This window comes from Homo sapiens, chromosome 4 (assembly GCF_000001405.40).
Source record: "Homo sapiens chromosome 4, GRCh38.p14 Primary Assembly".
Lineage (NCBI taxonomy): Eukaryota > Metazoa > Chordata > Mammalia > Primates > Hominidae > Homo > Homo sapiens.
Genome location: NC_000004.12, coordinates 7,753,818 through 7,779,276, shown reverse-complemented (window position 1 = coordinate 7,779,276; position 25,459 = coordinate 7,753,818). Strand labels below are relative to the sequence as shown.

The 25,459-nt window shown below is 52.8% G+C and overlaps 1 protein-coding gene and 1 long non-coding RNA gene across 10 annotated transcripts in view, besides 7 other annotated features; one reads left to right on the top strand and one right to left on the bottom strand.

Annotated features, from left to right (window-relative positions):
- The window catches only part of AFAP1 (actin filament associated protein 1), a 181,149-nt gene extending 160,585 nt beyond the window's left edge, over positions 1-20,564 (top strand). For 6 of the 9 annotated variants that reach the window (NM_001371091.1, XM_006713909.4, XM_047416061.1 and 3 more), the window contains 5 exons: positions 401-515; positions 4,374-4,538; positions 6,267-6,457; positions 10,269-10,433; positions 15,486-20,564. In NM_001371091.1, the coding sequence (NP_001358020.1) occupies positions 401-515; positions 4,374-4,538; positions 6,267-6,457; positions 10,269-10,433; positions 15,486-15,512 (663 nt within the window). In that variant the 3' untranslated portion in view covers positions 15,513-20,564. Of the gene's footprint in view, positions 1-400; positions 516-4,373; positions 4,539-6,266; positions 6,458-10,268; positions 10,434-15,485 lie in introns of those variants that run through there. The other 3 variants (NM_198595.3, NM_001134647.2, XM_017008536.1) reach the window with 2 other exon arrangements.
- On the bottom strand, positions 349-25,187 carry AFAP1-AS1 (AFAP1 antisense RNA 1). The gene is made up of 2 exons (NR_026892.1): positions 25,118-25,187; positions 349-7,073 (listed from the first exon to the last, which is right to left on the bottom strand). It is a non-coding gene; the product is annotated as an AFAP1 antisense RNA 1 (long non-coding RNA).
- Positions 6,840-7,069: an enhancer, noted in NCBI's record as "active region_21277". NCBI's record gives its function as "activates an Ori minimal core promoter by ATAC-STARR-seq in GM12878 lymphoblastoid cells {active_cell/tissue: GM12878}" and the evidence as "EXISTENCE:reporter gene assay evidence [ECO:0000049][PMID:35858748]".
- Positions 7,980-8,179: an enhancer, noted in NCBI's record as "active region_21276". NCBI's record gives its function as "activates an Ori minimal core promoter by ATAC-STARR-seq in GM12878 lymphoblastoid cells {active_cell/tissue: GM12878}" and the evidence as "EXISTENCE:reporter gene assay evidence [ECO:0000049][PMID:35858748]".
- Positions 10,696-11,611: an enhancer, noted in NCBI's record as "H3K4me1 hESC enhancer chr4:7769393-7770308 (GRCh37/hg19 assembly coordinates)". NCBI's record gives its function as "activates a minimal SCP1, AML or CMV promoter by ChIP-STARR-seq in naive H9 embryonic stem cells {active_cell/tissue: H9 hESC(naive)}" and the evidence as "EXISTENCE:reporter gene assay evidence [ECO:0000049][PMID:30033119]".
- Positions 15,509-16,215: an enhancer, noted in NCBI's record as "H3K4me1 hESC enhancer chr4:7764789-7765495 (GRCh37/hg19 assembly coordinates)". NCBI's record gives its function as "activates a minimal SCP1, AML or CMV promoter by ChIP-STARR-seq in primed H9 embryonic stem cells {active_cell/tissue: H9 hESC(primed)}" and the evidence as "EXISTENCE:reporter gene assay evidence [ECO:0000049][PMID:30033119]".
- Positions 16,216-16,924: an enhancer, noted in NCBI's record as "H3K4me1 hESC enhancer chr4:7764080-7764788 (GRCh37/hg19 assembly coordinates)". NCBI's record gives its function as "activates a minimal SCP1, AML or CMV promoter by ChIP-STARR-seq in primed H9 embryonic stem cells {active_cell/tissue: H9 hESC(primed)}" and the evidence as "EXISTENCE:reporter gene assay evidence [ECO:0000049][PMID:30033119]".
- Positions 21,878-22,378: an enhancer, noted in NCBI's record as "H3K4me1 hESC enhancer chr4:7758626-7759126 (GRCh37/hg19 assembly coordinates)". NCBI's record gives its function as "activates a minimal SCP1, AML or CMV promoter by ChIP-STARR-seq in naive H9 embryonic stem cells {active_cell/tissue: H9 hESC(naive)}" and the evidence as "EXISTENCE:reporter gene assay evidence [ECO:0000049][PMID:30033119]".
- Positions 25,171-25,397: a silencer, noted in NCBI's record as "fragment chr4:7755607-7755833 (GRCh37/hg19 assembly coordinates)". NCBI's record gives its function as "represses an EF-1alpha promoter that drives an FKBP-Casp9 reporter gene in an ReSE screen in K562 erythroleukemia cells {active_cell/tissue: K562}" and the evidence as "EXISTENCE:reporter gene assay evidence [ECO:0000049][PMID:32094911]".

The following is a 25,459-nucleotide window of genomic DNA, read 5'->3' as shown; positions in this document are numbered from 1 at the left end:
GTCGTGCTCCTCTCCTAAAAGGCATCCCACTGAAATAAAAGCTGCTTATCCTCAGAAACACAAACTACTCCTCTCATCTGAGTGCTCTGGGGTAGTCAGCTGCCTGCGCCAGCTTGGTTAGCATTTGTGGTCTGCCAGTAGAAAGGGGCCACTTCTGCAGTGTTCCAGCGGAACACATCCTACAGAGCCTCTGCCGTACCCTCCTTAGCCATTCCCCAGAATCCCAGCAGCCCAGTGTTTGGAAACCATCTTGGTTTTCTTTCACTTTCGATTTTTCCTCCATCTATGCCAGTTTCTACAATACTTAGAGACTGAAAGAAATGACTCCAGAAAAAAAAAAGACCAAGATTTGTTTGACTTTGTGTTTATTTTTAATGTTCTTATATGTTTATTTCAACAGCTCAAGGGTAAAAAGCCCCCCGTGGCGTCTAATGGGGTCACAGGAAAAGGGAAGACTCTGAGCAGTCAGCCAAAGAAAGCGGATCCCGCGGCTGTTGTGAAAAGGACGGGTTCGAGTAAGTATACCATCGGATGTCTTGCATTCCGGCTTCAAGTGCACTTGGTGGAGCTGGGCCTGTCTGAGCCTGCCCACCCGTGAGTGCCAGCTTGGGGTCAGCTGGAGAGATGGAGCGGTGGGCACCGTCATCCTTCCTCATCAGCCACATAGAAGGACAGTGGCGATTTCAACCCAGCTTTTCTGACTGCTTGTAAATTGAAGCCCAGAACTGGTTTGCCACCTGTGGGATCGACTCAGCATTTTAAAATAGGAGGCAGTTGTGAGTGCAGGTTTCTTGCAGCTCCGGGTGGCCCTGGGCTCCAGGTCAGGAGACCTCAGCTCCTGTCCCTGATCTGTGGTTGTCAAGCCTTGCAGACTCTAAACTCAGCATCTTTATCTGTCAGACGTAGACACGTGGCTCCCGTGGTTGGTGCGGTTGGAATAGCTGAGGTAATACACGGACCTCCAAGCACTAGAGCAGTATGAGGAGTTCTGAGGAATGGTTATCCTGCGGTGCCTGTGGTCCACAGCAAGCCATTCTTATCCCATCCGGTTTACTTCCCACAGCCACTTTGTAAGCATAGGCATTATCCTCTACCCCATCATAGAAATGAGAAAAGAATCACCAAGAGAGTAAGCAGCTCCCCCAAGGCTCACAGCTGGTAAATCACAGAGCCAGAGTGGGTGCCAGGCCTTCAGACTCCACATCCAGCCGGAAATAGATTGGGCAGAGAAGCATTAAGACATGAGACACTCAGCCTGCCTGGACCCAGCACCCTCTTCCCTTCCCTGTAGTAGATCCAGCTAGGGCGATATGTCATCTCTTAAGTGTTTGTATTGGTGTTAGTCCTCATTATGTTGGATGTCTAATCAGGGAGCCAGCCAGGCAGCATTTTTTCACTCAAGGGGCTCAAAGATACACCAAAGTGGTCCAGCGGACCCACACATGCAGACAAGCAAGTGGCAGGGCTGCAGTGTGGGGATTTACAGGTGATGGGCTCCTGAGTCCATCTGGGCATGTCCAGGAAGATTTCCCAGAGAAAGAAGGTGGGAGTTAGGTGCAGATGTTGAGTTTGATGTGGTTACATGCCATCGCCACTTGGGATTTGCACCTGAGATTTTCAAATCTGAATCTGTGCAACTGGTAGACCAGTCTCAGTGCTAACGAAGATGAGGCCAGCTAGCCCCAGGTGGTAACCCCCACACCAGCTGTCGAAGAGCGAGGCTGCCATACCGACACGTGCCGACATTCATTTGCCCTGTGGTTCCACTTTTGGAGTTGGAGCATCCACACAGGGGAATGAAGAGGCTGGCAGTGTCCTTGGCCATGTTCGTGAACGAGGCTTGAAATCGCTCCGCAGGGCCAGGCTGCGTCTGCCCCAAGGAAGCGTATACATCCCTGATCTAGGCTTTTCTCCACCTCTGTTCTACCCAACATACGTGTTGACCAGATAGGTTGGAGCCAGTTGGGCCAAATCCTCCCTCCTACCACCATTTGTTTAATGTACTAACTTCCTTTGACCTTATCTGGCAAATCTTATTTCCTGAATGTATCAGGTGTATTTACTTTCACCTCTTTTAGTGTTGTTTCTTTGAGGAGGGGCAGATGGGGGAGAGGAGCAGCTCACACCTGGAAAGCTTTGTTACAAGCAAAATCGGAGTCCCACGGAGTCTCAATCGCCATGGTGTTTCTCTGTCAGTACCTGTGCTGACTTTATTTCCTAGATGATTTATTCCTTTATTTTATGGGATGTTCTGTAGGGAGTTTTTATTAACTGTGGTGACGTCTAATGGTGACAAAAGAGAAAAATAATGGCATTCCGTGTTTTTGCTTGAATCCAGCCGGTTGCATTATAGATTAGATGGGATTTATTACATGGGGACCAAAAGATGTGGAAATTTATAGGTGATTGCATTGAGTTCATTGGGGAAACAGCTTAGTTTAGAAATAAGCGAGTAGAGTTTGGACTTGGCCCTGTTTGCCAAATATGTTGTTAACCTTAGCTGCAAACAGCGATCCTTTTGTTTCAGATTGTCGAATGCTTCGCCTCTCCTCAGGCTGCCGACGCTTTTGCTGTCATTCTATGTGGTTCTTTTGATTAGGGGAAAATTGACTGGGGAGTGATCACTTTTTATGCCTTCATAAATGCAGTATTTCATTGAAATCATGATAACTTACGTTGCAAGAATTGGCAAATCCAGCATTTAGGACAGGTGCTAGAAATGGCTCCCTGCTGTCCCTGAGTGGACAAGGCTCTGGGAATCACTTATCGCTGATATGGTAAGAATTGTCAGTGAATGTCCACTACATCAGGCGTCGTATCATTTTGTTAGATTTTTTTCAGATATAACGTTCTAATTTAAAACACGCATGCACACGCACGCACACACACATACACACACACAGGATTCCTTCTCGTTTCTGCTTTAGAGAGGGTGAAGCTGAGCTTCTCCGGAGGTTGCTTGCAGAGTCATGGAGCAAGGGAGGGTGGAGTGTGGGTTTCTAGCCACCTCTCTGAGTCCAGTGTTTTTATTCTTAATCATTATGCCACCCCTGTGGCTTCTACCTGAAGTAGTTTCTAGCCTTGTGAGGGAGTCAGACACTTGGGGTGTGCAGTCAGGAAGGCCTGGGAGTTGCCTTCAGGCGTGAGTGATTGTTAGAAGCGACTGGGAGACCACGGAAGCTTTGAAATCGGTGATCCTCCATCCGAGTTTTGTTAGAACCTTCATCTCTTCCATGTGTCTTAACAAAGAGGTGTTGTCCTAAATTACTGTTATTGAAAAGCCAACATAATAGGAGAGAGCATGGGGTCAGGTTTTGAAAGCTGTTTTCACTGGTGATGTGAAGTTGCCAAGTCTGTAAATTTTCCCTACAGCTAGTTTCCTCTTCATTTATTCATTTTATGAAATAAGCATTTATGTGTTGCCCATTTGTGTTTGTTCTAAGTGCTTTATAAATATTTAATCCTCGTAACCACTCAGTGAATTGCCTGCTCTTACTATCCCCATTTCACGGATGAGGGAAACTGAGGCACAGAGGGATTCGTGCCCTGTTCCAGGTCATGCAGCTACAAGTGTAAGCTGGGACTCCTTCCTAGACAGTCAGGCTCCAGATACCGCTCCTGGTTGCCTCTTCATGTATCCGTTGTTCATTTATTCACTAAACAAGCATTTATTGTGCCACACTCCGTGCCGGGTGCTAATCTCAGTGCTGGGGGTGTAGCAGCAATTCAGAGCCAGTCAGATGACATGGCCATAAGGAACAGATACTGCGGTGTTAGGGAAGGATTTGAAGACGTAGAGAAGGAAGCAAATTTCAGACATTATTTTTGATATTACTCCTGTCTTTTCCGATTATAGAATGTTCATTCTCCACCTTGTTGCAGATTAATTATAAGCCGTGTGCCTCAAAGGGAAGTGAATTAAAGGAATTTCCTAATATTCTGTTTTCGTTTTTAAGAATTTGATTCAAAGAATATTGGAGAATTTGAACTAGTCACTTTTCTGCTTGGTTCATACCAGCCCTGTCCTTTTCTTGTTGAATTAGCAAAATAATGCTTTGTGTTTGTTTACTGAGTTGGCTGATTCAACAGGCTTTTTGAGTTACCCCATTATCTGCTTGAATAAACCTAATTTTTTTTTGACACGGGGTCTCACTGTCATCCAGGCTGGAGCACAGTGGCAGGATCACAGCTCACTGCAGCCTCAAGCTCCCAAGCTCAAGCGATTCTCCCACCTCAGCTTCCTGAGTAGCTGGGACTATAGGCATGTGCCGCCATGCCTGGCTAATTTTGTATTTTTTGTGGAGAAGGGATCGTCCCATATTTCCCAGGCTAGTAAACCTAATTTTTAATTGCTGCTTTTTTTTCTTCTCAAGATGCTGCCCAGTACAAGTATGGCAAGAACCGGGTAGAAGCAGATGCCAAGCGGCTACAGACCAAAGAGGAGGAGCTGCTGAAGAGGAAAGAGGCCCTGCGGAATAGGCTGGCCCAGCTCCGCAAGGAAAGAAAAGACCTTCGAGCGGCTATTGAAGTGAACGCCGGTATGAAGGGTGTGGGTGACTGCCCAGGGTGCATGTTTGTATTAGAGACTGGAGATTTCATTCTGCTTTGCCCAAAGGACCTATTGCTCACCAAGGCTGTCATTTTATTTAGTAAGAGTGGGTTATCTCACAGTGTTTCTTGGGGCTTGGAAACATTGCTGGTAACCCCGAGGCAGGTGCCTGTGTGGTCAAACATGCGGCGTGCAGGCAGAGGCCAGGGCCAGACCCACACGCTGCTCACCGAGGCAGGGGAGGTGCTGGGGGACCTGTTCCGGCTTCTGGCGCTGACAACAGAGATTGTCTGGAGGATGGCCCCTGTATCCGCAGGACGCAGTAGATTCTGGTCACCGGGTAGGAGGGATCAGCTGGATTTCTCTACAGAGGGTAGCCCACAGGGGTCAGTAATATTCAGAAGTCCAGACAAGGGTAGAAGCAGCCCCTCGTTTGTTGAGAAGGGACAGGCGAGAGCAAGGCAGCATCTGTCTTGGGATGCATCAGGGAAGAGGCCAGGCTAATGGAATACAGACACCAGAGAGGGACTGAAGTCACAGAAACTGAGTTTGCAGCCAGAGTGGCAGCCCTGGGCCAGGCGCGTGCAATTCCTGCTGGCGGGAGCTGGCGCTCAGCTCCTGAGCCTGGGGTGGCACCGCTTACCTACGCATGGCCTCCCTTCCAGCCCGGTGCTTAGACTACGGAAGACTGGCTCCTTAGATTGAGATTGTACTGGCCTGGGCTGGGACGGGGGCTTCAGATGCCTCAGAGCCCTGGGTGGTCCAGAGAAGAGGCTGTGGCCTTCCCATGGCTCGCCGCGCGGGGAGGAGCTGACGCACACCCAGCAGGTGGTTAGCAGCTCCAGCCTTGCTGGACTTTGTGCCTCAATGATCTGATGAAGGGAAATGCTTTTGGAGTTTAGAGGAGGGAAGGCAGGTGTTGGCAGGGCAGGTCGGGCTGACCCTATAGGAGGCCCAGGATGTGGCCTGCAGTCTGAGGCTGACCCTACGGGAGGAGGCTGTGCCAGAGAATGGGACGGGGCATGGAGTTTAATGAGACAGAAGTAGCATTTCTCCCGTGTTCCCAGCTTGCAGGATAGTGAAGATGCAGGAGGGCCAGGAGTGCTTTTGGCTTTGAAAAAGAGAACCTCGCCTGCCGGCCACCACCGGCCCAGGCCCTGGGCACAAGTCCGTTCACCTCTTGGGATTGGTGTTCTCATCTGCCCAGTGGGTGCATCTTAGGTCACTGCAGCAAACCTCAAATAAAATAAGTGAATGTGCCTTAAAGAAATGTGTGCCATGTCCAGTAGAGATGCAAGCTGAGCTACTGTTCATTGCCTCGGGCGCAAATAAGATGACTGAAGGATCGGCGGAGCGTTAGGGGAGGACAGGGTTCACACTCCAAGAAGGTGGCAGCTTTGGGAACTGTGGAGTTTAGGGTCCACGTTTTAAAATGAGAACATTGAGGCCCAGAGCCAGGAGCTCCTGGCCTTCGTCAGAATCAGCATCTCCTCTTTCCTGGTCCGAGTCCTCAACGGCTGCAGCAAAGGGAAATGGTAGGAGAAGGACTCTGATCCCTTAGAGAACTGCTGAATTTAAGTTTCACAACGAGGACCTAAGTCAGGGGAGCTCGACCTCAGACGTTTTGTGGAAGTTCTTCTTGGGGACCAGGTGCCTTCTCTGTTGTTTGGAGAACCTGTGCCTGCCGCGGGAGTAACGGCGTTTCTGGGAATTCCAGGCAGGAAGCCGCAGGCGATCCTGGAGGAGAAGCTGAAGCAGCTGGAGGAGGAGTGCCGGCAGAAGGAGGCGGAGCGTGTCAGCCTGGAGCTGGAGCTGACGGAGGTCAAGGAGAGCCTGAAGAAAGCGCTGGCGGGCGGAGTCACCCTGGGGCTGGCCATCGAGCCCAAGTCAGGGACATCGAGTCCACAGGTGTGTGTCCTTCTGGCTCACCTCGGAGGCTGGCGCGGCCTTGCGTGGCCGAGGGCCAGTGCACCCAGAGAGAATGTGGAGTGGCTCTGGGGCGTAGCTTGCTTGTGGCCCCTTAGTGTGCCCAGCAGAAGACAGTTCATGTGTTAGCATCAGACACTTTCATCGGCCGGGCCTGTGTTCCTGACATGCTTTCTCACCTCTCGCTGAAATGTTAAAAGCTGTGGAAATGCTGAGTCTGTGTCTTTCCCCTTTGCACAATCTGTTTAGAACAGATCCAGTCCTCGTGTCTCTTCTGAACCAGGTCATGATTTGATGCCAGTTCAGTAGAGCCGGTGCTTACAAACCGTCTAACATGTCTGAGAGTTAAGCCAGGTGCTGGGGAAACTGAAATGAATGAAGCAGTCTGTGTCCTCTTAGAATCAAACAGAACAAAGTGGGGTCCTCTTCCCATGTGAGTCATCCCTGTCCCTGGTTCCTCTTCAGTCATTCGGCTGAGACCGCTGAGAACTTAGACGTCTTCTCCACTTGGTCATTCTGTTGAGTCTCCTGTCTTGTGAGTTGGATGCCGTCACTCCATTGAGCGAGGGAGGCACTGGGCCCAGAGCAGTAAACACGCCTGCAGGGCAGACAGAACAGGCAGCCAGTGAGGGACGGCTGGACTTCAGCCCCTGTTCCAGCCGAAACACCGTGGGTGCCCCTGGGTCCCCACCCACTGCGTCCCGAACGCTCCCCTTCTAGGTCCTTCTTTCCAAACCCCTCAGTAAAATGCTGAGCCTGGTTGAACCCACCGCTGCTCTTCCACATGAGCCCTGGGCGGGTTTGTGGGGAAGATTGACACATTTATGGGTTGACGGCAGCCCTGAGTTTCAGTCACTTGCTGGCCCCTACCGGGCACCACCCGCACAGCCTGTTCTTCCTTACTCTCCCCTTCTCCTCCAAGCCTCTCCCATCCCCCCATCCCTGCCCCAGTCTCCTGTGGCACCCCAGCGATCACCTCCAACCCAGAGGACAACCTCCCTCCCGCCTGCAGAGCTGAGCAAGCAGCCAGGTCACTGCTCTGTCCCCAAACCACAAACCCAGCCACTCATGCATGGTTCTTTCAGGTGTTCAAGAGGTGGCTCTGGGGTCACACAGGCCAGGGCTTGAAATGACTTGACTTCTCTAGGCCCTGAGTTTTTCATCTGTAAATAATAACGGTCGCTGCATAGACTGTGTGTGGACGCTTTTGGCACAGTGCCCACCGAAGCGCCTGTGTTCATTCACATCATTCACATCTTCCCAAACATACACATGCATTCATTCATTCATTCCACTCATCCAACAATTGCTTGTTGATATCATTATATACATTACTGTTATATATTACATAAAATCATATATTCATTCAACATTTATCTATTATATATAAAATACAATTATATATTTATACGATACATACTATTTAATATGTAAAGGTGTGTGTGTGTGTACATACACACATATGCATATGCTGTGTTCCTTCTTGAACTCCTGGGCTCAGGTGATCCTCCCACCTCACTTCCTGAGTCACTGTGGTTACCGGCGGGGGCCGCCATGCCCAGCCCACATTCTGTGTTCCCTCTGTGTGCTACAAACTGTTCCAGGCCTGCAGTTATGAACAAGATAGGTGAGAATCCCTGTTTCATGGAGCTTATCTTCTCATGAGGGAGGCAAACCAATAAAACACGTTGGTGTCAGATGCGGACAGATCTGTGGAGAACAGTGAAACAGTGCTGAGGAGGAGGGGTGCAGGGGGAATTGGAATCCAAGGGCTAGGAGGTGCCTTGGACAACCCCAGTCCCTCATCCAGCATAAATGGGGACAAGAGCATGGTGGGGTCAGGTGCAGTGAGAGTGGCAGTGAGGCTGTAGGCATTGGCTGGGACAGGGCAGGGGTCTTCCCTTGCTTCATGGAGCCCTGTGCCCCTCCCTCTGTGATCTGAGGCAGGAGTGCACACAGTCCCCCACGCTGCTTGTCTTTTGTCCTGCGTGGAGGGTGGTGGCAGGGCAGGAGTGCTCTGAGGAGCTGTCCCGCCCCCGTCCTCTGGTTCTGTTTGAGTGGAGGGGCTGGGCTTCCTGGGCTCTGGTCAGTGCCTCGATCTCATCCTTCCTGACCTCCAGACACCTGGGAGGATCCTTCTCCTGTGTCTTCAGCTTTTCTGTCAGCTTTTTCCAAGCATTTAAGGATTCTCTAGTTGAATCCATCCTTAAAAAAAAGAAGGTTCTGCCTGGCCTCCTGCTCCCCCTGGTGACTGTCCCCTTGCCCTGCGTTCTTGCCTTTCCTTCCAGGGTGAACTTTGGAAGCAGTTGTCCATGCTTGCAGCATGCTTGCAGTGTCCTCTGCCCCTCCTACAGCTTCACTTTCTGGATGTGGCTTCCCATTGCACCTGCTTTCATCATGGTGACCCCCGGCATTCCCATCCAGTGGACATGTTAGTCCTCACTCCCCGGTTCCGGTGCCCTTCGGCACAGCTGCCCACTCTCTTCTATGGTGGCTCCACATTCTTCCACCCCCATGGCTCGAGCTTCCCTCTGGCCCCTTCTCCAGCTCCTGCCTTGCCACCCCCCGCCTCGCTTCTCCTTTGTCCCAAGTATCCTTTGGGGGCCCACGCCTGGCTTGCTGCCTCTGCTTCCCCGCTCCCAGTCCACTGTGCTTTGCGACTTCCCCTCTGTTTTGAGGGAGGATGTCCTTGGTGCCATCCTCTGTCCCCGCATCTGGGGAAGCACTCTGCACCGCTGCAGCCCAGGCCGTCCTCGGGAGAGTGGCTTATTCGGTGGACCCCTCTTGAGATGCAGGTCTTTGGGTCACCTGCCCCTTTACTCACAGCCTAGCCTGGCCTCTGCCAGACACAGATGTCCTGATCATCATTCCATTGTATTCACTCACTACTACCCTAAGCTCCCTCCCGGCAGCCAGGGGCTGCCACTGCATAGGTCAAGTTGGCTGCCTGGGGATTGTGGCCAGTAAAGCCCACAGGGGACCCCGAGCTGCCCATTTTCATGGTAATTGAAACACTGTTCTAAAACAATATTCCATATACCCTGAGCAATATTTTTTACATAACAAACACATTTTGGCAGGAATCCTAGGAAGCGTCTCTTCCTTGGAGACTTCATTTGAGAGAAGGCTCAGCAGACTGTGGCGTTTTTTTCCCCCCAGAGAGCAGTTTGGGATCCCATATGGAAGAGCCAGCAATGGGGGCCTCGGCAGCTCAGGACACATGTTGTTCTATTTTCAGCCTTCCTGAACACCTCCTCCTTTGGCATATGGAAGCTGCCGTAAACACTAGGAAGGCCTCTGTGCTCATGGAGCCTGCTTTTCTCCAGCGAGCCCCGCGCAGTGGGGCTGCATCCCGTTAGCCAGTGCTGCCGTGAGTGCCGCCACTTTCTGCTACCTGAGCATCTCTAGGGCGCTGACCCCAGAAAAGCTCAAAACCTTAAAGCACTGCACAAAGGGACCAGCTAGAGGCGGCAGCAGCTGCATGCAAGAGCCCAGCTTTGAATGCAAAAGACTAGGGCAGGAATCCCACCCTCACTGCTTCCCAGGCACAGCCGGGAGTCAGAGCACCCCTTGGAGCCTCCACCTGCCCGTCGGAGCCTCTGCCCCCCGGCCGTGAATGCCAGGAGACGCTCTGGGGGTGAGGCACTGACCACGTGGCAGTCCTTGCTGCTACTGCTGTTATTTTTGCCCATTTCCAAAACTTATTTCTTCCTTGAAATAAATCATTTTCCTGCTGGAGAATACCAGTGGCCCAGAAACCGCTCATCACATGGGGTTCTCTCTCTCCGTTAAGTCTCCAGTGTTCCGGCACCGGACCCTGGAAAACTCGCCCATCTCCAGCTGTGACACCAGTGACACCGAGGGCCCCGTGCCGGTGAACAGCGCGGCCGTCTTGAAGAAGAGCCAGGCTGCCCCGGGCAGCTCCCCCTGCCGAGGGCATGTGCTGCGGAAGGCCAAGGTAAGCCCTGATGTCCGGGGGTGTCTGGGTGTCCTGGGCAGGCACTTTAAGCTCCCAGCATTCTCGGGTGTGAGTAGGGAGCCCATTCTTCTTCCTACTGCATCCACTTGGCACTCAGCCTTCAGTAGACATCTGGGAATGGGTGCTTATCGAGTTCTCACCACCCCGCAGATCCTGTTAGGAACCGGGTTCTCAAAGGTGAACAGTGACTGGAAGGTGCTGACCGTTTAGCCCCAGTGCCAACAATTGGCTCCAGAGTCATCTCAGATGCAGGCAAGCCCTGGGCTCCTCTGGACTCGTTTTCTCAGTGGTGCGGTGGAGATTAGACCAGGAGACCGCTGAAGTCCTCTTCAGCACTCAGATGTGTGATTCTTTAGAAAAACAAAGGAAAGGGTCCAGGAATAAGCTTTCCCCCAGCCCCTTCCCTAGCACCGCCAGCTGCATGAATCGGGCTCTGAGGGCCTCGGAGGAACCTGTTTACTCCCTCCTGGGGCAGCTTCCGGTCTTCTCATGGGATTAGCCACTAGCAAGTTTTGATGCTAACCTTTGAAACCTCAGAAATCTTTAAAACACAGTAGTTGATCAAAGCAAACGGGTCCTGGCGGCAGCAGCGGAAAGTGCTGTGTGTGGAAGTGCACGGAGTGCGATGGTGTGAGCTGGGGAGCCACAGGAGTGTGGCCGGCCCCGCCCCGAGGGGCTGGAACACGGGAGTCCTCCTGTACCGGCTCTGTGGGTTCCTCTCATTGCCGGAATTAACTTTTCTTTTTTTGAGGCAGGGCCTCGCTCCCTGGCCCAGGCTGAGTATAGTGGTGCCATCACAGCTCACCACAGCCTTGATCTCCTGGGCTCAGGTGATCCTCCCACCTCAGCCTCCCAAGTAGCTGGGACTGCAGGTGTACACCATTATGCCCAGCTAACTTACTGTATTCTTTATAGAGATGAGGTTTGGCCAGTATCGCCCAGGCTGGTATCAAACTCCTGGGCTCAAGTGATCCTCCTACCTCCCAAAGTGCTGGGATTACAGTCGTGAGCCACTGCGCCCAGCTTGGCATTCTTTGCAGCTTTTGGAGCCCCCTCCGAGTTGACTGGGGATAGGTGTTTCCTGCGAGATGGGAATGAGTGCCGCCCCCCTGCTGTGCTCTCTGGGGTGCTCACAGGAGGGCCCCTGAGAAACATGGTTGTCCCCAGCCTCCCAGAACAGTGGTCCTCCATAGCAGATCCGTGTACTGAAGACCGTGTGTGTCGGTGAGTCTGGGGAAGGGAGGAATGGCTGGCTGTCATCTCCATTGCTTTTCTTAGTGTTTACCAAGTGTTCTCAGCTGGTGACCACTGAGCTCACTGATGGAGGAATATGTTTTGCCTGGGGGATGTTTAGAATTGAGCTGCCCAATGACATCCCACTTAGGACTCGCAGATGAGAGATGCTGTAAATGTACTTCATCTATTTAGTTTCTTTATCATCAAAGAAATTGGACTGAAAATTCTGTGGTCCCGACCCTCAAAAGGGCTCCCATCACCGTGTGTGCTTCCGTCATACAGAGGTTCAGGCCCCCCGCTCCCTTTTGCTCCCTCTTGGTGAATGGGAAGCGAGTGATCCTGGGCCACCTCAGATGCACAGCCAGCTGTCCAGATGGGTCCCCACTGATAGGTCCAGAAAACAGCGGAAGCTGCTCTCGTCCCTCCAGCTGAGAATCTTGTGCAGAAATCAGAAGGGGACGGACTGAGCAGGGTTCCCCAGGATTTCTGAGAACAGTGACAGGGGACCCCTGGCTGGAGGTGGTGGGGCCTGTAGACCCTGAGAACATGAATGCACTTGTGTATCGTAAACTTGGTCTCATCTGCCTCCCGCCTTTTTCTGGGGACCAAGGGGTCTGACGTATTCCGGATGTGGGAAGCGCTATGCCCGCTGCGGTATTCCTGAAATACCTTCCAACTCTCGGTGAGGAGCATTGAGCGCAAGAGAGGGTTCTGGAAAGTCAGACGGCTTCCAATCCCGTGCCCCAGGGCTTCCTGGCTCATAACCACCCACCAGGCACAGCTCCAGGTCAGATTTCCCTTCCCTTCATCTGGGCAGGCCGTGTGCCAAGGGCCATCCAGGCATGGAAACTGTGGCTCTGCTCTGGGAGGTGCCCGAGGGGCAGGCGCTGGGCTGCTCCAGGTTTCGTGCCCCTGCCTCTCGTGACACATTCACCTGGAGATTCTGTTACCCTCTCGTGACACAGTCACCTGGAGATTCTGTTTCCCTCCCGTGACACAGTCACCTGGAGATTCTGTTTCCCTCCCGTGACACAGTCACCTGGAGATTCTGTTTCCTGCCCTGCTCCGAGTTGAGTGGAGGATACAGGTTCTCATCCTGTCGCTTATTCTGTGGCCAGTGTGACCTAGGCTTGGAATGTTACCATTTCCTCGGCTTGTTTGCTAAACATATGTGGCACCACGCGGAGGTAACATGGGGTCCTCCCTCTCTGAAAACCCCACTGCCTGGGAGGAAATGGGGGACCTGTACAACAGAGGACTGCCCTTGAGCGCCGACCTTGTGATGCTGTCCCCTGGGCACCTTCTCTGCTTACAACGGCCCACATAGCTGTCCCAGGGAGGCTGAAGGGGCAAGAAGGCACGAAGCGTACCCAGCTACCCATCCTCCCCTTTGCAGAACACTTCCGCCGAGTCTGAGAGGGCCTCAGCATAGTGTTGTCGGCATTGTGGCTTGGTGTTTGTTTCTGCCAGATTTGCTAGTGCTGTGAATTTAACCATGAGTTGAACTCGAGCTTTTGATTTAGACAAAGTGAGAAATTGTTCATTGTATGCAGCATGCGGAGACGTGCAGTGTACTCATGACCCAGTTAATGAGCCCCTGGAAATAGTGGGAGTCAGGCGTCTGCATCCTGGCGCAGGGTCACTGGGCGGGCGCAGAGAAGAAAGTCCCTCTTTGGTGGCCGGGCGCTGTGGTCGGGGCTTTCACAGACCCTGTCTCCTTTGATCTTCCCAATTGCTCTTTGAAGTCCTTGGTGGGACTCACGTTGTACCATGGCTCAGAGAGATGAAGCAACCTCTCCAAGGCCCCTCAGTGGCTGAGGCACAGAAGGTCTGGCCCTGGCGTCTGTGCCTTCTGCTGTCCTCCAGAGCCATCCATGCCAGGGAACCAAGGGCCTCTGTCCTGCATGGTGTCTGCCGCTGCTCTGACCTGGGTCTGCTCTTTTGCCTCCTCTTTCTGGAACTCAATCCCATGGCCAAACCCCATTTCAAATCCACGTAGCTCCAGAGACCATGAGTAGCCCAGGCTTCTGCCTCTGTGCAGCTGCACTGGGTGCTGAGGACCCAGAGATGAATGGATGGAAAGGAAGAGGTGAGGAAGAGCACGGAGGGCGCTGTCCAGTAGGGAGGGGCAGGTACATCTATTGCTGTGACATGGCTTGTTGAAAAGCACAAAAACTGCACAGAAGATGGGAGCATTGCCTCCCTGAGTCAGGACGAGGGGCACAGGGTGGTGGGGAATCACTGAAGCCTGGTCCTCAGGATGCATGAGGCTGGCCAGGTGACATCAGGTGGAGAACAGGCATGGGTGTGTGTAGAGAGAAGCAGATACAAAAGCCAGAGTGTGGCCTGTTGGGAGGCAGCAGGGCAGAGTGGAGATGGGAGGCCTTTGCTGTGGACCCAGTGGTTTTGGGGCCCAGCTTCATCACTTTGGACCTAAGGCAAGTCATTAAGCCTCTGTCTCCTTAGCGATTGATTGATTGATTGAGACAGGGTCTTGCTCTGTTGACCACGCTCGAGTGCAGTGGCGATCATGGCTTACTGCAGCCTCAAACTCCTGGGCTCAAGCAATCCTCTCGCCTCAGCCTACCGAGTAGCTGGGACTATGGGTGTGCGCCACCACACCCAGCTAATTTTTGTATTTTTTGTAGAGTTGGGGTCTCCCTAAGTTGCTCAGGCTGGTCTTAAACTCCTGGCATCACACAATCCTCCCACCTCACTCAGCCTCTCCAAGTGCTGGGATTCCAGGCATGAGCCCTGCACCTACCTGTCTCTTCACTTATGAAGTGGGGGTACTGTCCACCTTGCAGGGCTGTTGTCAGACCAGACATAGCCGCACCCAGTGCATGGCACAGTGCCTGCCCAGTGCCCACTGTCCCTGCTTTCACAGTGCTGGCACTGCGTAGACCACAGCCATCTGCAGCCAGCACTCAGGGCCTGTGGATGGAACCAGTCCAGCTGCTCTGCTGACTGGATTTAAGCATCTACATATTTAAAAAAATTTTTTTCTATTAGAGTAAAATAAACACGATGTAAAATTGACCATTTTAAGCATTTTTAAGTCTACAGTTCAGTGGCATTAAGCACATTCCCATTGTTGCACAGCCATCGCCGCCATCCTTCTCCAGAACTTTCTCATCTTCCCAAACTTCCCACCCCAGCCCTTGATACCCACTATTCTACTTCCTTTTTTTTTTATATTTTTTGAAATAGACATGATGCGGTCTCGCTACGTTGCCTAGGCTGGTCTCAAACTCCTAGCCTCACGCCATCCTCCTGTCTGTGTGTCCCACAGTGCTGGGATTCCAGGCGTGAGCCACTGCACCCAGCCCACTTTCTGTCCTTGTTAGACTTCTCCAGGTCCCTCACATAAGTGAAATCGTTACAGGATTTATCCTTTTGTCATCGGCCTGTTTCTGATCATGTCCTCAAGGTTCATCCAGGTTGCAGCGTGTGTCAGAAGGCCCTTCCTTTTTCAGGCCGAATACGTGGTGTTGTCTGTACTCGCCATGTTTTACATGTCTATCCATCGGTGGACACTGGGTTTCCTCTGCCTCCTGGCTGGTGTGAGTCATGCTGCTGTGAACGGGGTGTGTGGTATCTGCTGGAGACCATGCTCTCCATTCTGATAGGTGAATACCTAGCAGTGGAATTGCCGGGTCATTGGTCATTGATTCTGTTGAGTTTTCTGCAGTAGCCGAGCACCCACCCCCTCTGAGTTGAATGTGGATGGTGGCGTGGCTTGTCCCAGCCTGATCCTCTTGCCCTGTCCACTTACAAGACTCTCCTTTCCTCTAGGAATGGGAATTGAAGAACGGGACCTAGGGGACAGCAGCACCACTCCAGCCTCAGAGACTGCACACCCCCTTGCCTGTATCCTCATCTGTGTGACGGCAGGAAGCTCTGCCCAGAGTGGCCTCAGCTGCACGACTCCAGAGGCTCCACGACTGAGCTCTGAGGCCAGTGCCTGTCCCCCAGGCCCACTTGTATTCTTTCTACTGTAAAATGGCGCCTTTAAAAAAGATGTAAGACTTTGGTTCCCAACTTTGTTAAAAAACAAAAAAAGTGATGGAAAGGTGTTTGAAAGGATGCTATCAGGCGAAGTGACATCTTTCTAACCAGATAGGCCATTGCTTTCACCGATTCCAACCCAGCCCTGGACTGAGGATGGATGGTTCCATGAGCCCCCAGATGAAAACCTGGATTCGACAGGGAAGAGCTTGGATCCCCGGCTGCCCCGGGCATGAGTGTGGCTGGCCATGGGCACTGGGCTCGCCTTGCACGCCCACCAGGAGGGCCAGGGGCATACGCAGTCCTGACGTGGACTTTGTGTCTTGGCGTACCCTCTCCACGTGCCCGTCCCCCTCGTCATCAGAGGTAAAGGCATGAGAAAATCGCGCTGTGAAACGTTTTTTACCTTTTATTATTATTTTTTGGACAGATGCTTTTGTCACCAAGACATGAAAAGCTGCCATTCTTCTTAACCTGTTTTTTAGGAATGTCTTTTTACTGTGTGTCACACTTAGATCAAGGAGTTTTCAGAGGTTCCTTATTTTATTAATTAATTATTTGTGCTGCTTTTGACAGGTAGCAGAGGGTTTTAATACTTCACTAACAGTACACCCTCCTCCCCCTTGGGCTAGCATCCCCAGCCCTTAATCCACGTCGGAGCCGGCAGGTGCTTCTCACACCAGGAGCCTCTGGGGGCAGGGGCTGGCTCCTCGCCGCTGTACAGGACGTTTACTGCTGCTTGGGGCCAGGGCAGTCCTTTGAAAGGGAAGCAAGTTCCGGAATTTGTTCGCTCATGGAACTATAACACCTTAGAGCAAGAGGCAGGAATTCCAGGGCCTCCTGCCCCTCCCCTTCCTCCAGCTTGTCAAGTTAAACCACTAATGTGTTGGTGGGCCTGGCCGTGCTGCCTCTCCTGAGTAGGGTGGGTGCAAGTAGGGCCTCTTTCCCAGCTTTCTTGCTTGCCTTCTGTGCAATATTTCTTGGAGAATTTGGATGCCTAAGGCATAAAGGAAAAAAACAGAGTTCATAGTTTGAGCTGGTATTTACCCCCTGGGTTTAAAAATCAGATTAACTTCTTGGTCTCCCGGAGGCTGCTGTCAGGAATTCTCCAGTACGGGAAGATGCAGTCACTTATGACGAAATAAGTCACCCCTGAACGCCTCCGCAGGCAGATTCATGGAGACCAGTCCCAGTAGCAACCGCCCCTTCCCCAAGCATAGAATACAGAGGTGCCATACTTGGTGTAAGCCTTCCTTCTGTCCACTGTCCAGAATGTCCTTTTTCACACAGAGGAAGAGATGGCGGGAAAACACTGACTGACTCCTTGGGTTTCCCCCAGACATACTTTCAGAGCGCTAGCTGTGTGGTGCACGGGACTTTACAGTTAGGATTCATGTTTAAGGTGGTGGCGCTTGAGGCCTGCAAGGGCCACGTTGGATTACTGAAGCGGAAAGCGGTCTCCCATGTATAAGAAAAAGTTTTACAACACGAATTGGAAGCTGCTTGAGTCCACCTGAACTTGAATTGATTGCAAAGCCATCTGCTGGGAACGGTTTTGGGTTCCTGAGCCATCAGCCAGCCTTTCTTTCCCCTCTGATGCACGTTCCTCCCGGCCTAGTCCGTGGAGGCCCATCACACCAGCATCCGTGACGCCAGCTTCCCACTAGGACATCCAGGCAGGTCGGGCGGGGACGCCACACACCTCAGGGCCGTCCGCTGCATTGCCATAGAGGAGCCCTCCCTCCAGTGGTCACTTCCCACCATTGCAGGCAGACTTCCCACCATTGCAGGCAGCTGGGCCCACTTCATATCACACAAAATGAATTTTCTATAAAGGGAAAAAAGTTTGCTCCTCCATAGATTTTTGCTGCCTTCGGGTCAAATAGTTTCCCTGGTTGACACTCTTGGGCCACTCTGATTGGCAGCCTGCTTTGCCAAAGAGAACTGTGTGAGGTTTTGGTGGTTAGTAAGAGAAGGGGGAGATGGCCAGCCTGAAGTCACGGTCCTGGCCCAGCACAGGTGGGCAGCAGCGAGCTGGCAGGTGAAGTGTGAGCAGCACGCAAAGTGTCACGTGGGCCTTAGCCGTCACCCACCAGCTTCCTCACCAGGCAAGGAGGCCCCGGAGCCTTAGCAGGGACTTGCCCAACGGCACAGCTGATTGGTGCTCGACTCCCAGCATGCATATTTTGTTGTAAAAACCCAGGTTTGTAATTCACATCCACAACCCTAAGCCTTTTAAAGCGGAGGCAAACGTTAACAAACCCCATCGTGGTCCATGGAGCCTTTCAAAATGGGTGCCCTGGAGGGGCCTGACAGTGGGTTCCTTCCATGGCGGATACTCCCTTGAAATTTCACATTCCATCAAAGTTTAAAGCATTTACTTCAGAATAAGTTATTTATGTGTATATGTTCAATAAATATAGTTTTTAATTTATATCTGTACATATTAGACACACGCGAGCCATCTTGCCAGAATTCTGACAGTGATGTCATTTTATTCCCCTCCCAAAACATGCCCCAGGAACAAGCACCCCTTGCCTCTGTGGCAGCTGCGAGTGTGTCTGATTTCATAACGAAGCCAGGCTGAGGGCAAGAGGCCCGACAGGCAGGCCAGGGTCCCCGGAGAAGCCGGATTTCTTCGCAATGTCACTGGTACTTAGCAGATGGTCGTGTTCACAGGGGCTAGCCACCTGTACTACGGTGCCGACCGCAATGCGAGGAATGTGGTGGCCACGCGATGGAGCTGGCCGGAGGACAGGTCAGGTGAGGGGGCCGACCCCTGCGGGGCTCAGGGCTCCTTCCATTCTAACCTTGAGCCACAGTGTCACTCTTCAGGGCTCTGCTCCTGGCTCTATTTTGTTAAGGTGTCATCAGCCTTCAACCTCCATTTATATATTTTTATAATGTTAAGCCACTGACCAACTTTTTCATAGAAACAACTATCAGATTCGAGGGCTCCCTTTGTCCCCCTGACCTGGGCACAGGCATGGGCGATGGCTCCCTCTTCCCAGAATCTGCGGGGAACTGGGGCAAGGCCCATCTGTCTGCAAGGCTGGTAGCTCTCTCCCTCGGCTTCCAGAGTCCACGGCAGTTGCAAGGTAACCAGTGTGGATCTGCTGAGTCACCCCAGGCACCAGACTTACCCCAGGAGCATGGGCCACTGTCCATGGGGCCTTCCTTGAGACCTTCCCTTGGGGCTGGCGGGCGGCGGCTTACCAGCTGGGTCAGTCCCATCTCGCCCCTCTGTGCCTATGCCCTGGCGTTGCCAGGCTTAACCTTCCCCTGTATCTTACTCATCCCAGAATTATTACTGGCCATTTCTAAATAGACAAAAACTACCCTAAAATGTGGAGATTTACTCCTTTTGAAAAGTCTGTTTCAAAAAGTGTGGCCTCAGCTCTGGAGGCCACCCCCAGGAAGGAGTTTGAGGTTCATTGTCATTATGGCCACAGTTTGGTGCTTGTGCACGGGACTCAAAGGGCAGCGTCGAAGCTGGGGTTAGGTGTAGGGTTGTGAGCAAAGCTCCCCTGTTTGTGGCCACACCTTCCCTTTCCAAAAAGGCTATTAATTCTACTCACCCACTATTTGGGGGGATGTAAATTTTGCCCACAGACTTTGCCACCCAGGTGAGGTGCTGTGTTCATGCACGGAACTGATGTCATTAGACACCATCCAAGGATGGGCAGCCTGCAGTGTGGCCGGCGACTGCCATCCAGAGAAAAGGCACCTTGTGCCACAGGGCGGGGCCGACACCCTGAGCTCACAGGTGGCCCCTGCATTCAGGTGGATGTCCATCCTTGAAACAGCCTCTTCTGGGAACACAGCACTGGAGGTCTCCAGGCATCAGGGTTGGCCGGCAGGGTGCCCTGCAGCTTACATAAAGGTCGTGGCAATGTTTCAATGTTAAACTAAACTATTGCCTTCCTCTTACTTTTCCTAAAATGATTTTCTAATGGGAACAGTCACTTCAAGTTCATGACATAGTTTGAAGGAGGATAATTCATTTTTTCCTGGTTGTCACTGTCTTCTTATCCCCTTGGTGGGCTGGGTTCATACTGTGAAATAAACTAAAATGAAACCAAAACGTTCCTGCCGTAAATACGTGGCACAGCACTGCAGAAAAAGCAGTCACCTCTATTCGTGAGTCCCCAAGCCATAGCAGGGCGTCTGTAAAAGAAGGGAAACTGCACCCAGGAAGTGGTGGGCGTCAGACGCATCCTTTCGCCCGTAGTTCATGAAATAGTTCCGGCTTTGGTCTTCCAGAAAATCTCAACTTCACCGTGCACAAGTGTTACCGGGTCTTTTTAGTGTAGCCATGGAAGATACTTTCAAAAGGACATCTTCAGATCATAAGTCTTAGGACCAAAGGTGTTTTTAATGAGATAATCTTTTTGATTTTCTAACAAGAAAGGAAATATTCACTTTACATTTTAACATCAACTTTTAAGTGATATTCAGAATTAATTGACCATGGTGATACGTTGTAAAATGTTTTCATATTAAGAATGTAATTATTTCCTTATTGTATTTTTTAAAAGCTAAAGTCATATTTAAAATTCTCTTTGAAAGAAACAGGCAAAGAAACAGCAAAGATTTTTTTAAATTAAATATGTTAGTAGTGCCCACTTCAAATGACTGTAAATATATTTTCACTGTTTCTCAATGTATTTAATTCATAAAGTAAAAATTTTATGAAAAGAAACTTGCAAGGAAAATCCTAGTTTTCAGTCCACTCGCCCCACTTTGTAGTAGCTTCACTGAATTTCCTGCTTTCCTGGTTGAATTTTCTACTGTTTCACGTGGTGTAACCCTAGACTGGCGCCCTTGGCGTGCCCCTTTGTGTATGAATAAACTTCTCTCCCCCAGCCCCGGTGTCTTCACTGCCCTTGGTGTGTGCTGCACACTGAGAAGTGGCTGCTTTTCCTGAAGTCCTTGCTGTCAGGTGGGTGGGGGTCTCTCGCTGACATTTGGCCACCTACCGGGGAGAGAGGGGTGAGGAGTGACACATGAAGGGAGGACGTAGGCAGATGAAGGAGCCGTGGTTTATATTAAAAAGTAGCTTCGAGTCCACAGACCTGAACATCCAGTTCAAGAGACGTTTTGCGCACCTGCTGTGAGGCCAACTCTGTGCCAGGTGCTAGAAATAGAAATGGGTCAGCTACAACTCCTGCCCTCAGGGAGCTTGCTCCAGGCAAGACGACATGGAAAGAGATCCTGGATGCGCCTTTTGTGTAGAGGACTGTACGCAGATTTCTGGAATCACAGAGCTCCTAAGTTTGAGGCTGTTGGGTGGGGTTTTTGCAGAGGAGTGGGGGTTATTTGAACTAGGCTCTCATGTTTAAATAGGAGTTCTGCAAGGAGAGAAGTCATTTTCCAAGCGCCCTCGGCCTGCCCTTTGACACTGTGAGCAGCGTGTCCTCCCAGGCAGCGTCTGAGAAGGCTGAGCGTCCCCTGCTGCACCGTTAATTGTTCCCTGGTGGGCGGTTAGTCTTGCTGGGAAAGTCTGGTTAAAGCTTTTAATAGGCCATTTTTAAAGTAACGCTCCTTGTTGGCTTTTGAACAGAGGTCATGCCCTGGTAGGCTGCCAAATGGAAAGGAAGGGCCTCTAATTTCCTTTTGAACTTAGGGAGAGGACACCGGGACTCCTGGCTTTGCTTTTTAACACCATGGAGAGTGCTCAGCGATATTCATCATGTGAGTTATAATTTTGGGAACAGGCGACACGAAGCCTCAAGAACATAAATCAGGAGCCCAGCTCCTTAATGGGAAGCAGGGAAAACATGAGCTGATGTCTGTGATCCAGAAATTTTATGATGGAAACTTCATCTGTTTTATGAGGCTGTTAAAAGTGGCTATCCTTTCATACAAAGGGACCGATTGGAAAGTAGGGCAGGAGACCTGGCAGGACGAAGGAAGGAGTCAGGCGTACCCACCTCCTGCACAGGGGGCGGGGGTGGGGCCGCAGGCACGTTCAGACCGTCCCCTGCACTCAGAGGGTCTGGTGCATCTAGAACCCTCTCTGAGGTCAGGGGCTCCTCACAGCTGAGCCACTGCCTCCTTCTTTGGGGCACCAACCTGCCTCGGAGGGCTGCCCATAACATCTTTTTTTCCTGATGCTTTAACTTAGGACACCTTGCTGACCCTGGAGGGACGGCCCCTCCCAGGGCTGGCCAGTTCCTAGAGATAGTAACCCCTAGCCTGGCGCACACCTTACAGAAAAACCAAGCAGTCTAGAGCCACACCCGCCCTCACTATCGGGGGCTTGGGGATCTCACACTCCAGCCCACTACACCCCGGCCCTAATCACCCCAGGGCCAGGCAGCAGACCACAAGACACAGCCAATGTCAGGAGCCCACAGAAGTGATTCAGGCCACCCAGCCCCAAGCCCTCTTCCCTGGCCTCAGCTGTTCCTTCCCGCAGAAACCACAGCAAAGGTTCCTGGATTTGCCCGTACTTTCCCCTTGCTCCCCCGGCCTCTCAGCTGGCCTGCACTTCCCTGTGTGGCCTGGCATGGCCTAGTGTGGTGTGGCGTGGCGTGGCGTGACCAGTCCTACTGAGAACCTTAACAAACTAGCTTGTCAGCGACAGTAGGGCCTCGCCATACCTGAAGGTTAATTGAACGGATGTTTCCAAACGCCCCAGTCCTGTGGAAAGGACACGGACCTTGGCACCAGCCTGTCTCAGGCCTACATCCTGCCTGCTCTCCCATAGGACAGATAATGACAACTCGCAGGCTGTTCTGAGAATTCAGGGAGCCGCATGAAATACCCAACATGAGCCTGGCCCCGACGGGCAGGTGCGAGTCACCCCACGTGGGATGCGGCCCGGCTCCTCGGCGCAGTCCCCGAAGGCACTGGGATGACAGCCCTGCCGCCACTCTGCTCTCAGGGCCGTCCTGATTGTGCACAGACCAAGCCAACCTTCTCGCCCTCAGGTCGATTGTGCACAGACCAAGCCCACCTTCTGGCCCTCGGGTCGATGGTGCACAGACCAAGCCCACCTTCTGGCCCTCGGGTCGATGGTGCACAGACCAAGCCCACCTTCTGGCCCTCGGGTCAATTGTGCACAGACCAAGCCAACCTTCTGGCCCTCGGGTCGATGGTGCACAGACCAAGCCAATCTCCTGGCCCTCGGGTGAGATCCTAAGTCGCAGCAGGAGGGCAGCACGCAGCCGACTGCCCCCAGGGGAAGTAAGTGCCTCAGAGCAAGACCAAGAGCAAGCACAATTGCCTCTTCCTGCTGCTCCACTCCTCCTGGGGCAGCTTTGTGCAGGACCTACTGCCCGGGACAACTGCGACAGACAAGTTTGACAGCAAAGCGCAGGCCGAAAGCTGCTGGGGCCTGCTGTGGAAAGCACGGGTGCCGTGGCTGCCGTGGGTGCCGTGGCCCCTGGGGTCACTGGGCTCCCTCCCTCCACGGGTCCTGACCCGCCAACCCCAGAAGGAGGAGCTGGGGGAGCAGGTGCTGCATTTTGCTGTTACAGTTTTAGGCCCTGACATTATTCTGAAAATCACTACACAAATGATTCCCAAGCCCCTTCTAGCTGTCAGGCCCCGGAGCACAAAAATGAATTCCACCTGCTCTGCCCTCGAGTTCACAGCCAAGCAATGACCATTTAGAGCAAGAGAGCACATTTATTCACTCAGCAAACATTGACGGAGCACCTTCTCTGTGCTGAGAACGTTCTGTGTGACCTTCACACGTGTAAAACAGCGCTCTGGCGACTCCCCAGAGGAGGCGCCGGGAAGTCAGCGGGACCCGGGCATCCCCCCCAGGCAGAGTCCCCGCTCTCCCAGCCCCTACCCTCTGACGCCCCGAGCATGGCTCCTCCAACCCCCACTCCTGGCACCCCCCTGCCAGGACGGTCTCATCCATTCCCAGGGCTTCACTGTGTGGCTCCTGCTGAGCCATGCAGGGGACAGAGCCCATCCGGAGCCACGCACCAATTGCCCCTTCCCAGGAAGGTGACTGCAGGGCACAGCTCCTTCTTTAAGCCCTGATGCTGAGCTGGGAAGCGGCCCTGGGCTGTGCAAGCCTGAGCTTCCATCAGGGTGCTGCCCAACAGGAGGGAAGGCATTTGGGAACTGGGGTGGCTGTTGAAGGCAGGAAGCCAACGCTGTTGGCAGAGGGCAGAGAGAGCAGGAGCCGGGGAAGCAGGGGTGAGGCCTGCAGGGTGGGCATAAGCCGGCCTGGGATGGGAGCTGCTGTGGGGCCTGGGCTGTTGGCTTTGGTGGGTTTCCCCAACTCCCAGGTGTAACCTCACAGTAAAACCCTATTCCTAGGCACAACCCAAGAAGTCCAGTGAGGCCAGGCTCCAGCCCATGTCCACCCAGACCTCTCTCTTCCTTCACCCCAAGCCGGGCATCTGCAGGTGCCCTCCGCAGAGCTCATCAGGAATCCCCTCCCCTTGCCACTGCCCAATGCAGAACTCCCCATCTACCTCCCCCTCCAGCCCCCACCCTGCCGCCCCTGCTGGCCTCCTTGCCACCCCCAGCCAGGCCCTGGCCACCTGGGAGTCAGCCTTCAACATCCTCTCCCTCACCGCGGTCGGCCGAGTCCCGCTCAGCTCGCCTCCTCCTCATCTCCAGCCTCTGTCCACTCTCCCATCCCCACCGCCATTCCCAGGTTCAGGCTCCTGGTCCCCTACCCACTTCACTGCCCCAGTCTCTCCAGGGTGACCCAGCCTCGCAGGGAAGCCCTTGGCAGTTTCTGAAACCCAAATCTGACCATGTTCCTGGCGTGCTCCCCATTCCGTGGGGGATGAGGGCCACGTCTGCAGCCACGTTCACCAGCCCGGCTTTACCTCTCTCCTTCCACCCTCCACACCTGCCCCTCCTCCTGCCTTATGTCTGTCAGCAGATCTAGACGCCTTGGGGACGGTTCTGACCCTACCAGCCCTGTGCCTCCTGGGAGAGGCGTCTGGGCCTTTACAGTGGGTGGGACTCACTGTGCTGTGCAGACCACTACTCCCATGGCGCCCGTGGGCCTTTGCATCCCACCTGTAATGAGGCACCTTGGGGAGGACCAGACCAGGTGGTCCTCCATGTTAAAGAAACAGTGGAAAGAGTGACACTTCCCCTCCCAACCTCCTCACCTTCCTCTTGGGCCTGACAGTTTTCCTGCCCAGGGCCCTGCGCACAGCAGCCCCCCTCCTGCACTGTCTCGGAGCTCTCCGGACACTGCCCGTGAAATGGGGGTAATGCTCCTGGTTGGTATTACCCTCGGGGGATGCATTGCCAGGATTCACTGTGTGTCCCCTTCCTTTTTTGCTTTTACCAAGAATCAGCCGGGACAGCCCTGCTTCCCAAGTGTGCCGCACAGCTGCTTGGCCCAATTCCTCCTGTATTAGTTTGTTTTCACGCTGCTGATAAAGACATACCCCAGACTGGGAAGAAAATAAAGGCTTAACTGGACTTACAGTTGCACATGGCTGGGGAGGCCTCAGAATCATGGCGGGAGGCGAAAGACACTTCTTACGTGGCAGCAGCAAAAGAAAACGAGGAAGCAGCAAAAGCAGGAACCCTTGATAAACCCTCCAGGTATCGTGAGACTTACTCACTATCACGAGAATAACGGGGAAGACCAGCCCCCATGATTCAATTACCTTCCCCTGGGTCCCTCCCACAATGCATGGGAATTCTGGGAAATATAATTCAAGCTGAGATTTGGATGGGGATACAGCCAAACCATATCACCTCCTTCCCTGCCTCTCTAATGCCTCTCTCCCTGCACAGGTGTGTGTCCCAATGCCTCTCTCTTC